Genomic DNA, 12059 nt, shown 5'->3' on the forward strand with positions numbered 1-12059 from the left:
GTGTTTAATTCTTTTTTATTATTTTTTTTGAGATGGAGTCTTGCTCTGTTGCCCAGGCTGGAGTGCAGTGGCGCGATCTCAGCTCACTGCAAGCTCCGCCTCCCAGGTTCACGCCATTCTCCTGCCTCAGCCTCCCGAGTAGCTGGGAGTACAGGTGCCTGCCACCACACCCGGCTATTTTTTTTTGTATTTTTAGTAGAGATGGGGTTTCACCATGTTAGCCAGGATGGTCTCGATCTCCTGACCTCCTGATCCGCAGGCCTCCACCTCCCAAAGTGCTGGGATTACAGGCGTGAGCCACCACACCTGGCCCATAGTGTCTAATTCGTTTTCTATGTTGCTGGATTTAGATTGCTTTTTCTTTAGCCTATTATTTGACCCAATTGTTATCTACTGCCTCAGGCAGCCTTCATATTAAACAACTGTTGCTGATTTTTTTAAACAAATGCCCCCAGGAAAAGAACTATTGGTACTGAGTCAGATCACATGAAGACCAGTCCTGGGAATTGGGCTTCTTAACGAAGTTGACTGACAGATAATGACAGTTCTCTGGGGATGGGTCTATTTGGGGTGCTCCAAACCCAGTTTGCTCCCCTTCAGTGGGTGCCAGGCTGCTGCTTTTTACAGCTACCATGGTTCCAAGGCTGTTGGTTTTCAAAGCTGCTGTTGAGCTGGGGAAAGGAAGATGGGAATTGGGCAAATTAAAATACCACAAAACTTGCTTTTCTTCGAAAACTTGGCTGTTTTACTTGAGTAAATGCTCCTCTGATCGTTGTAAACTTTTGCTTAATTTCCGGAATTGTGAAAGTTAATTTAAAAAAATTTTCAACGTCTTGTAGCTTTTGTGGAAGGGTAGATTTTCAGAACTCTGCCATTCTGGAAGTGCTTTCCCTTGTAACTTTTTAACTTTTCATGGGAAGTTATGTTGTTCTATTTGTGTGTGGGTTAGTGCAAATGATAGTCCTTGCCCAACGAATTCCCTTCCTCAGGGGCTTAAAAAGTTTAAGGAATATAGCAGCTTCTTCTTTTTTTTCTCTTTTTGAGACAGAGTACCGCTCTGTCTGGAGTGTACTGGCATGATCTCAGCTCACTGCAATCTCCACCTCCCTAGCTCACTGCAATCTCCGCCTCCCTGGCTCAAGCAATTCTCATGCCTCAGCTTCCCGAGTAGCTGGGATTACAGGTGCGTGCCACCACACCCAGGTAATTTTTGTGTTTTTAGTAGAGAGGGAGTTTTGCCATGTTACCCCCCCCAGCCTGGTCTTGAACTCCTGGGCTCAAGCAATCCATTCACCTAGATCTCCCAAAGTGCTGAGATTACTGGCATGAGTCACTGTGCCCGGCCTCTAGCAGCTTCTTTTTTTTTTTTTTTGACGGAGTCTCATTCTGTCGCCAGGCTAGAGTGCAGTGGTGTGATATCTGTTCACTGCAACCTCAGCCTCCCAGGTTCAAGCAATTCTCCTGCCTCAGCCTCCTGAGTAGCTGGGACTACAGGCGCACACCACCACGCCTGGCTAATTTTTTGTATTTTTAGTAGAGACAGGGTTTCACCATGTTGGCCAGGATGGTCTTGATCTCTTGCCCTCGTGATCTGCCCACCTTGGCCTCCCAAAGTGCTGGGATTACAGGAGTGAGCCACCGTGCCCGGCCAGCTTCTTAAAAGCTATAAGACTGAGTGTTGGTCAAGGACTGGGAGCTTGTCTTATTCTTTATTATATTCCCAACATTTTGCAAAATGCCTGGTACAAGATGAATGCTGAATAGATATTTGATGAATGAGTGATTGAATAAATAGCTCTGTGCTGGATAAATCTTGGTGGAATACTCTCTTTCCAAATTCTTCCTTCCTTAGTGTGTGAAAGGAGTCCAGTAGCTAACACAAGTCTCCTGGGAGTTGCAACTAGGAACTACTCTTAACATTGGAAGATTACATATCAAAGATTGAGCTCTTATAATGTGCCAGCAACTGTGCTGGATTTTTTATATGCATCATCTCACAGCAACGCTAATGGCAGATATAGAATTATATCATTTTACAGCTGATAGGACAGAGCCCAAGGTCACATTTCTTGGTAAATGGTGGAGCCAGGACTGGGGAACTAGCTTGGTTGATTCCATAGACCAAGCTTTCAAACACTGCACTCTCTGACAATCCATGGATGGTATGATCAGAGGCATGCAGAAAGCTAAATTTCCCAGTATCTTCCCCATTGGCCTTGCGGCCAGTGATTGAAATGCCCACATAATTTATTTCTTTGGATTAAAGCATTGAAACTATATTCATGTTTGTAGGAAGTGGTAATATACAAAACTATCAACTACCTTAACAGCTTAAAGTGGGTATATCATATTAGCCAGTTAAGGGGCCTGAAGGCTAGCAAAGCCCAGAAGTGATGGGGCCCGCCCCAGGCCAGATCTGTATGGAATCCCCCTGTTTAATCTGTCTAAATCTTTTCTTCACAAATGAGCTAGGATCCTCACTGCAGTTGTTGATTGTTTTCCCTCTTCAGTGCTTCAGTTCTGCAATACTCCCAGACAAGGGCTGAACATTATTGTATTTTTTCCTTACTGCACACAACTTTTGGAAAAGCCCTGGCTTTCTTTGACATAAAGCTGTGTTGTCAATGGAGGGGCCCAATGGCTCTTGGCCCCTCCTAGGAATATTTCTTGATAGGAAAAATGTCAGGTTCTACTGGAAAGAGACCACCCCTCTGCCAGAAAACTAGCAAAATAGCTTTGATTTCACTGCAGCAGAGTTCTGAATTTTTTCATTCAGTGAAGAGAATTATCTTCCCAGCCCCTCACCAGTCTACTGTATGTGACTTTTGTTTCTACAGCTGTCTAAAGGATCAATAGGATTTAATGCCTGATTCACATGCTTAACTCAAGGCAGAATAGAATTTGACTTGCTTACTGCAAGGGAAGTGCAAGATTAATGTGATTCAGTTTAGGCCTTTCAACAAGTATTTTGGAGTACCTGCTCTGTGCCCAGCTCCGTGTGGCCTGTGGGAGAGGGTCATCGCAAGAGAGACCAGCCATGATTCTGGCCTGCAGGAGCTCTTTTGAAGGGATACTAGCCTAACTCATGCGAAACAAGTAACAGGACAATAATGTTTGTGTTCAGACGCCCACATAAATGGTACAGATGGTAAACATGTCAGGTTCCCAGATGGTTGGCTCTCACAGACTGATTAAGGCCACTCCTCTCCAAATCAGGAGATTGTTTTGCCAAGTAAGGACATGAGAAAAGCCCACACCCCTTTGATCTCCTGTTACCACCATTTTATAAAAGAAAGGACAGAATAAAGGACAGTCATTCAATCTGGATCTATTTAGCTTTAGGAAAAGCTCACTGCTTTGTCATGAGGCACCACACTTTGGGATCTTAGAGCATTCAGAGATGGAAAAAATCAGCAGGCACTAGAGTCCTAAGAAAAGGCTGCGGTGAATAATGAAATCAGAAAATCACTTCCTTCTGGAAGCCCTCCCTGATTGCTTCAGCCAGAGGTGTGACCTCTCTCCTTGAGCTCATACCACTTTGCTTTTTCCCTGTGGTACCTCTCAGAGCCTACCTTGTGTTACATGTACTTCTATGTAGAATCAGTGACTCAGCCTTCTTAGTAGACGGTAAGCTTAGGAAGTGGAGGAACACTTCTATATATGTCATTTCTTACCCCCAAAGGTCTTTGCAGGCATTTACTGTTTTTGTTAAAGTGAAAAAATTCTTCATTCCGTCCCTGCTAAAATTTACACCTGAATGTTTAACGCCTAGTGGGCATTTCTCTTCGGCCGCTAAAACATATTTCAAACACATAATCCACACACAACTCTTCCCCGCCGTAGCATCCCCAAACCCACACACACGTTTCTCTTTTCACCTTGCAGTCTATATGTCCTTAAATTATTTCTCTAATAGAAGTTTTAATAGTCATAGATAAAATGTACACAGAACCTTCTAAGTTTTGGATACTTTTAAAAGCAGTTTATATGTATTAACAAACCTAGGAAGTTTGTACTATTATTACATCCATTTTACAGATGAGAAAACTGAGGCTCAGAGAGGTTAAATAGTAATAATAACAACATCTAACATTTGAGTGACTACTGGATGTCAAACATTGTACTTAAGTGCTCATTTAAGAATAATGAGGTACAGATAGACCTCCCTGATAATTAATTGAGTCACCACTCCTTGAGGAGGCAATGAAAAAAAAGGGAAAGTCCCCTCATAGAAGCAGAGGATCTGGTCGTGGGGATGGGCTTTTGAGAAATAAGCCAGGCTGTGAGGTAGAGAAAAGCCACAGCAGTAAGCTTCCAGTGGCTCCATTAGGAATGGACAATGGTCAGAGGAGAAATATCTTTGTTACCCTGCTCAGTCCACCCTGTTCCCTGCTGGGAAAGCTATCAGCAAGAAAAGCATTAGGATAAAAACAAGTCAGTTTCACAGTTAAGTCACCTAACTGGTTATTTTCAGATTATTTTAAGTTTTTAGGTGTGTACAAAAAAGTGCAATAGGTGAGACTGAAAGAAAAGTCACCTTGACACATGTTTAATATTCAGAGGTTTATAAAGCAGTATAGGTCTGTGGTTCTCTAAAGTAATTGGCAATGAGTTATGTTCCCATGTTTCCTAAAAGAAATCAGCTGACTTTGAGCTGGGAGACTTACAGCTGTAAACACTTCTTCCTTTAGTCCATTTAGAGGAAAAGAAAATTTGAAGGGTGAGAATGAGTCGTCCCCTATACCAGAGGAGAAGGTGAGGATCAGGAAGAAACAGCAGTTACTGGCTATAGTAAGATCTGAGGTAAGGGCCTTTCTGGGAGGTTTGAAAAAGTCTACTGATCTTTTAAGAACTGCATCCTACTCCCTTCAGTGAATGGCTGCACATAGAAATGGGCCCAATGTGTACTGTGTTAGATTTCAGTTCTTCAGAAGATAGTCCGGTTGTGTGTTAAGGATGTGTTTAAAAACCCGCCTCTACAGGAATGACCCTCAAGAGAATGAGTTTTGTTTTTAGTTGCCAATCAAGCTGGGCTCTGAAGAGGAGAAAAACGCCCAAAAGGGGAAATCAGTGGCAATGCAAAAGTTCCCGAAGAGGAAGAAATGTTCAAGCACCTTTCTTCCCTCACCATTGTAGTGAGCTTGCTGAGTCATACTTTCATTAAGCAGTGCAGCATTTTTTTTTTTTTTTTGTAAACCACTGCAGCAGACATTTGAGATCAAGAAATAGGTTTTGACAAAAGTTTAGGTCCAGATAATGATTGGAAATAGCCCCTACCTTTTACATGTACTCTCTGTCTAGCACAGTTTAATATTTAATCACTCAGATCACTAATCCATGGCTAGTTTTATTTTTTAAAAAGAAGATATGTTCTTACCCAAGGATTACTGAGACATTTTGTTCTAAGCTGGCTCTGTTGTTGCAATTAGCTAGCAGACTTAGTTCCCAAGCTGGGCTGCCAATATCAATGGCAACACAGGTGCAGACTCACAAAATCAGTCAACTGGAAGCCCTATCTTTCATTTCAAACTAGGGCTAAGCCTCACTACTTAGAACTAAATGGAGGAAGGTGAGGCTAGGTTGAAGGAGGAGGTTGAAAACTGTTTTAGAACGCATATTTTTTTAAAGTATAATTTTCCATTTGCAAGTGCATACAGCAGTCAGAATTAGCCCAATGGGGTTTCCTGGCAGATGTTATAATTCTGTGTTGGCGGTGATGGACTCTAAAAAGAACTAGTGCAACAGAATTAAGACTAATGCAATGGCTTATCCTAGCCATGAGATGGCAGCAGAGGGTGGTAGGAGCTCACTGCCTACTACAGAGGAGAGTTCTGGAAGTAAAGGGGAGTCTGTGTTGGAAAGCTTCTTACCAGGAAGGAAGAAAGTGACATAGCATGTCAGAGCAATTGAACAGGAGAGGCTGGAAACTCACTAAAGCCAAGTAAGAAATCATAGAAAGTGTGGTTAGGTCAGCTGTGGGTTGCAGTCCTACTAGTTTAAATCAGGACACTAGAGGGGAAATACCTTGAAGAATAAATATATCAAAGCAGAAAGCATGCTAATGACCTATGAAAGACAGCAGAGGGGAAATCTAATGAAAGCTCAAGAGGCAAGGCATTGTGATGGGATAATTCTTTGAGAGGTTGTTGCTCTTTGGGAGCTGAGTCCCCATGAAGTACCAAGCCCAGTGCTGGGAGGATGCTATAGGTCCAGTGGTCCACAATCCCTTTTACAAAACTCTTGGGGACAGATTTGTTTTGGAATTCTAAATTTGTCAGATTTTAGAACAGTAATATGCTGTCTATGCCATATATTAGATAACACTCCCAGTGAGGTTTCAGGCAGCACCCATAATTAGAGTTCCAAAATTTAGCAAATAAAAATACAGGATGCCCAATTAAATTTGAATTTCAGCTAAACAGCAAAAATGTTTTAGTATAACTAAATGCCCCTTATAATTTTGGGACATGCTTATACAAAAACATTATTCATTATTTATCTGAAATTTAAATTTAACTATGTCCTATGTTTTATCTGGCAACCCTACTATAATCAAACACAATAAATTTTCAGCAGTGAAACCTGGGCATGCTTAGATGCAATGGGATAAATAAACACCATAAATTGCCTCCCATCAGTGCATGTCAGGTTTTGCTGCCATATGAGAGGTTTGATAGGGAATTTATTTTTAAAAACTTTGGTTTTCAGAACTTGGTGGGCTTGGTGATCATGATATCTCCCCTGCCAGGTGAGTATTGCTCACCTGCCAGGTGGGTTTTGGAATTTTGGACCTGTAATTGTCCAATAAATGTTTTTAAAGTGAGAAATCCACAATGAGATATGTTCATACCTTCAGTGTGTCCAGTTTTTAAGGGTCAAGGTCCCTCATTTTTTTTCTTTCAAGACACAGGATGTGGTCAGGTACTGCAGATCCTGAAGGGTTGGGGTATGTGGAAGACAAAGTGAGGTATACTCAAGTAGTTTTTACATTTATAGGAAAGCTTGGCTGGAGGGTTTAATGACCTGCTGTGGGCTGCCCACTTCCTTTCAAATCTTCAGGATGAAATCAGAATGAAGGAGGTGGAGGAGACTTAATCCCTAGCTATACCAAAGAACACATTTTGAAAATGTATACTGTACATTGAACTCTGACTCTGGCTTGGTCTCTCATTTGTGGAGTGGGACTTGGGGCAAGCTTTTGTGTTTGGTCTTTATCTATGTAATGGTGGTGTTGCCTATGCCTGTCTTCCTCACAGGACTGTTGTGAAGATCAAATGCATCAGGGATGGGAAAGTGCTTTGAAACATTCTCAACACCAAATAGATGGAAGCAGGCATTTTCATGCATTTTTTTTTTTATCATAACAGGATAATGTGGGCTGCATGCTCAAAGATGTTTCTAATAAGGTAGTGTGGTAGGGTTAGGAGATTGGTCTCTGCAGTCAGACAGACTGACCTGGGGTTCACATTCCAGCCCCACCACTCCCTGGCTGGATTACCTTGGGCAAGTTACTTAACCTCTCCAGCCCTCAGTTTCCTCATCGGCAAAATGAGGATTACAATAGTAACTCATGGCATGAGGTCATTATGAGGATTAAGAGAGTTAATTAAATGCCTGGCAACTAGGAAGCCAGTGTTATTATTTTTCATGATGGATTACTATAGGAACTAAACAAGAAAGCACTCAATAAATGTTAGTTCTTTTCATCATTATGACTTACGAGATGTAGAATTGTCACTTCTGGATATGTAGTCTTGAAGTGACTGTATATGTGATTTGACACACTCTATGTGCTATGGTTTGGGCATGGTTTGTTTGTCCCCACTAAAACTAATTTTGAATTTGATCCCCAGTGTGGTGGTATTGGGAGGTAGGGCCTAGTGAAAGGTGTTTGGGTCATGAGGGTGTAATCCCTTATGAATGGCTGTTCTTGCAGGAGTGAGTTCTCATTCCTGTAAGACTGTATTAGTTCTCGCAGGGATGGATTTGTTTCCTTGAAAGTGAGTTGTGATAAGGCCAGGATGCCCCTCAGGCTTTCCTTTCCTCACACCTGTCTGCTTTGACTTTGACCTTCTCTGCCATGTTGTGACACAGCACAAATGCCCTCTCCAGAAACCAGGGCCATGCCCTTGAACTTCTCAGCCTGCAGAACTGTGAGCTAAATAAACCTCTATTCTTTATAAATAACCCAGTCTCAGCTATTTTTTATTAGCAACACAGAATGAACTAGAATACCTAGTTCATGCCTAGACAGAGTTTGCATGCATCAGCACTGTTTCCATTATTTGTTCCTCTGAATGTTTTGAGGGTATGTTCTGTCATGCCAATTACTGGCTTAGAATTCTGGAAAGGAGACTGATAGTGGTGGTAGTAGGCGGTAGGGATGGTGAGGTAGGGGAGGAATAACGTGTTGGAGAAATACATCCAATTGCAGTCAGTATGGTCCTCATTGTATAGTCAGATCCTACAAATAAGTCTAACAAATTCCAGAGTGAACAAACTGAATTGTTATACAAGACACATTTTAGAGGGTTGGAGACAACTTGGTAGATAAAAGAGAGAATTTTTCATTGAGAAAGATTGGCAAGTCAGGATTGCAGGAGGTATGGCTTTTTCAGGGCTGACTGACAAGTTGAGGTATCTTAGGGTATTTTTCAAAGCTGAGATGGAAGATTGCCTAAGCATGGTTTTGATTCAAAGCAAAAAGCTTACCTTCAGAGGACATGAACAGACACTTCTCAAAAGAAAACATACAAGTGGCCAATAAACATATGAAAAAAAAATGCTCAACATCACTAATCATCAGAGAAATGCAAATCAAAGCCACAATGAAATACCATCTCATACCAGTCAGAATGGCGATTATTAAAAAGTCAAAAAGCAACAGATGTTGGTGAGGCTGTGGAGAGAAGTGAAGACACACACTATTGGTGGGAATACAAATTAGTTCAGCCACTGTGGAAAGCAGTTTGGAGATTTCTTAAAGAACATAAAATAGAGCTACCATTTGACCAAGCAATCCCACTACTGGGTGTATACCCAAAGGAAAATAATTCATTCTATCAAAAAGATACCTATACCTGCATATTAATTGCAGTGCTGTTCACAATAGCAAAGACATGGAATCAACCCAAGTGCCCATCAGCAGTGGATTGGATAAAGAAAATGTGATACATAGACACCATAAAATACTTTGCCATAAAGATGAATGAAATGTCCTCTGCAGCAACATGGATGGAGCTGGAGGTAATTCCTAAGCAAACTAACGCAGGAACAGAAAACCAAATACCACATGTTCTCACTTATGAGTGGGAGCTAAACATCGAATACACATTAATGTAAAGATGGGAACAATAGACACTGGGAATCACTAGATAGGGGAGAAATGGGGGCTTAGGCTGAAGGACCACCTGTTGGGTATTATGTTTACTGCCTGGGTGATGGGATCATTGAGACCCCTAGCCTCAGCACTGAGCAATTTACCCATGTAACAAACCTACACGTGTGCCCTTTAATAAAATTTGAAGCTGGGTGTGATGGCTCATGTCTGTAATCCCAGCACTTTGGGAGGCTAACGCGGGTGGATTACCTGAGGTCAGGAGTTTGAGAGCAGCCTGGCCAACATAGTGAAACCCCGTCTCTACTAAAAATACAAAACATTAGCTGGGTGTGGTGGTGAGTGCCTGTAATCCCAGCTACTAGGGAGGCTGAGACAGGAGAATTGCTTGAACCCAGGAGGCGGAGGTTGCAGTGAGCCGAGATCGCACCATTGCGCTGCAGCCTGGGCAACAAGAGCAAAATTTCGTCTCCAAATAAATAAATAAAAAAAATTTGAAATAAAAAAGCAAAAAAAAAACTTGCTCAAAATGGCTTTTACCAGGTGATTATTCAGGAACATGGCCTAAAGACATGAATGCATCTTGGCTCCTGTGTGCTTAATGTAACCAGGAACAGTGTGTCCTGTTCTTCCCTGCCCCTGCAACCATCCACCACACTCCTACACCTTTCTTGCCCTCACCACACATTCTGTCTTTCTCTGGTAGAGAAAGGAAGGATCCTCAATGCTCGGATGGCTTTTAAGAAGTCATTTTCCATCTGTTTCCAGGTAAGACCACCCCAAATGTAGCCAGCTCAATTAAGCCAGCAACATTCACTGAGCACCTACTCTGTGCCAGGCCCCATGCCAAGTACTTGGGACACAGGCATGACTTCAGTGGTGAGAATCTCATTCCTGAAGGGAACACCTAACAGATAATAACAAAATCAGATTCCTGTTCTACCATGATAGGGTTCCCAGTGCCTGACAAAAGCTATAATGAAGTCAAGAGACTTTCTTGCTAATGACTGCAACAGGAAACTAAACTCACAAGAGAACACAGTTCATGTAGCTGAAGGGAGAATCAAATTAGCTGGAATCCCGAGAGAGTAATTATTTCTGTGGAGTATCAAGACCGTAGGGGCCCTGGTAGCTTGATTTTAAAGAGAGTTGTAATTATTCTAATCCATGTCCTTTCTCCTTCCTTCTAGGGACCAGCATGTGGTGGGCTTTTAATAAAATGACTGTCTGAGAAGTTGACTATGTGCCAGACATGCCTTTAATCCTTAATCCTCATGATGACTCTATGAGGGTGGTATTGTTGCTGTTCTACCGCTGAAGAAACTGAGACACAGAGAGACTAAATGTTTTGTCTAGTAAGTGGTGAGAGCCAGGTTTTGAACCCAGGTCTATCTGAGTACACCACTAGTGCTCTAACTTGAGGTGATCAAACTATAGCCTCTGGGCTAAATCTAGCCCATTGCCTGCTTTTGTAAATGAAGTTTTATAGGAATACAGCCACATTCATTTGTTTATGTATTACCTGTGGTTGCTTTTATGCAGAGTTGAGTAATTACAACAGAGACCATAAGGTCAACAGTGTCTAAAATATTTGCTATGGGCCCTCTATAGAAAGAGTTCTGGGCCCTGCTGTAACCATAATACTACATAGTCTCTGGTATGTAGGCATTGGAGTAAGACAGACATGAGGTCCGACTCTGGCTTTGCCATTTATTAATAGTATGCCTTTGGACAAGTTCTTTTACTTCTCTGTGCCTCTGTATCCTCCTCTGTAAAATGAGAATAATAATACTGCTGATAGGGTAGCTATGAGGATTAAATGAGCTACTATTCATGAAAGGTTCTTAGCACAGTTCTGGTTGCCTGGCACATAGTAAACTCTTAAAAATGGTAGTTAAATTACTTGGAGTAGTAATGAGAACAGATAGAATGTGGCTGTGTGCCTGGCACATAGTGAATGTTCACTTAAATACCAAATACCTGTATTTGTCTGTTTCTTATTCTTGATGACATTTCTAGTGCCTTGAGTTGTTGAAGAAAAGACTGAAGTTTAGGGCCAGAGGTAGAAGTATGAGGATTAGCAGGACAGGGCAGTGAACAGGGTGGTTTTGGCCTGGAGGGGGACTGACAGCAGGGGATTCACTCTAGTATAAGCCATTAAAAGCTTTAAGCCAGAACCATATATGACCACAATGAAGTGTGTATGTGTAGGGCCCAGGAAGAAAGTCCCCAGTTCTGTGATGTTTTTCTTTTTTCTTTCTTTTTTTTTTTTTTTTTTTTTGGTGTCTTCAAAATCCTTCCCTTGTGTTGCACTTCAATGGACTCTGATTCCATTCTTTGATTAATGTGATGTTTTCTTAAAGATTGCAGTTTATGCTGACCTCCCCATTCTCCTAGTTCCTGCAGCAACTGTAGAAAAAAATAATGACTGTCAGATATACTTCTTTGTTCTTAGTTGGGCTTGGTTGATGCCTCTGATTAGATCCTCAACTCCTTTAGGGTAGCAACCATGGCTGTTCACATCTCCCAGGTTGAGGGAGAGGGAGGGTGTTAGTGCTATTAAACAAAGAAGGGATGTGTTTTTGTTTGTGGTGTGTGTGTGTGTGCATGTGTGTTTCTGACTGGGAAGTACCTAAAATGAAAGGATAATGAATTTCAGAGGCAAGGTCTTTGGGAGATAAATGAAACACAACAATGTTTCAATGTCCTATTAAGCTAGGGA

General features: G+C 41.8%; 1 protein-coding gene across 3 annotated transcripts in view, besides 1 other annotated feature; it reads right to left on the bottom strand.

Moving 5' to 3' along the window:
- Nucleotides 1–12059, bottom strand: part of TRPC5 (transient receptor potential cation channel subfamily C member 5) — a 314766-nt gene that overhangs the window by 95965 nt on the left and 206742 nt on the right. The window lies entirely within an intron of this gene.
- Nucleotides 4825–4874: a silencer, noted in NCBI's record as "silent region_20944". NCBI's record gives its function as "represses an Ori minimal core promoter by ATAC-STARR-seq in GM12878 lymphoblastoid cells {active_cell/tissue: GM12878}" and the evidence as "EXISTENCE:reporter gene assay evidence [ECO:0000049][PMID:35858748]".

The sequence above is a fragment of the Homo sapiens genome, chromosome X (assembly GCF_000001405.40).
Source record: "Homo sapiens chromosome X, GRCh38.p14 Primary Assembly".
Lineage (NCBI taxonomy): Eukaryota > Metazoa > Chordata > Mammalia > Primates > Hominidae > Homo > Homo sapiens.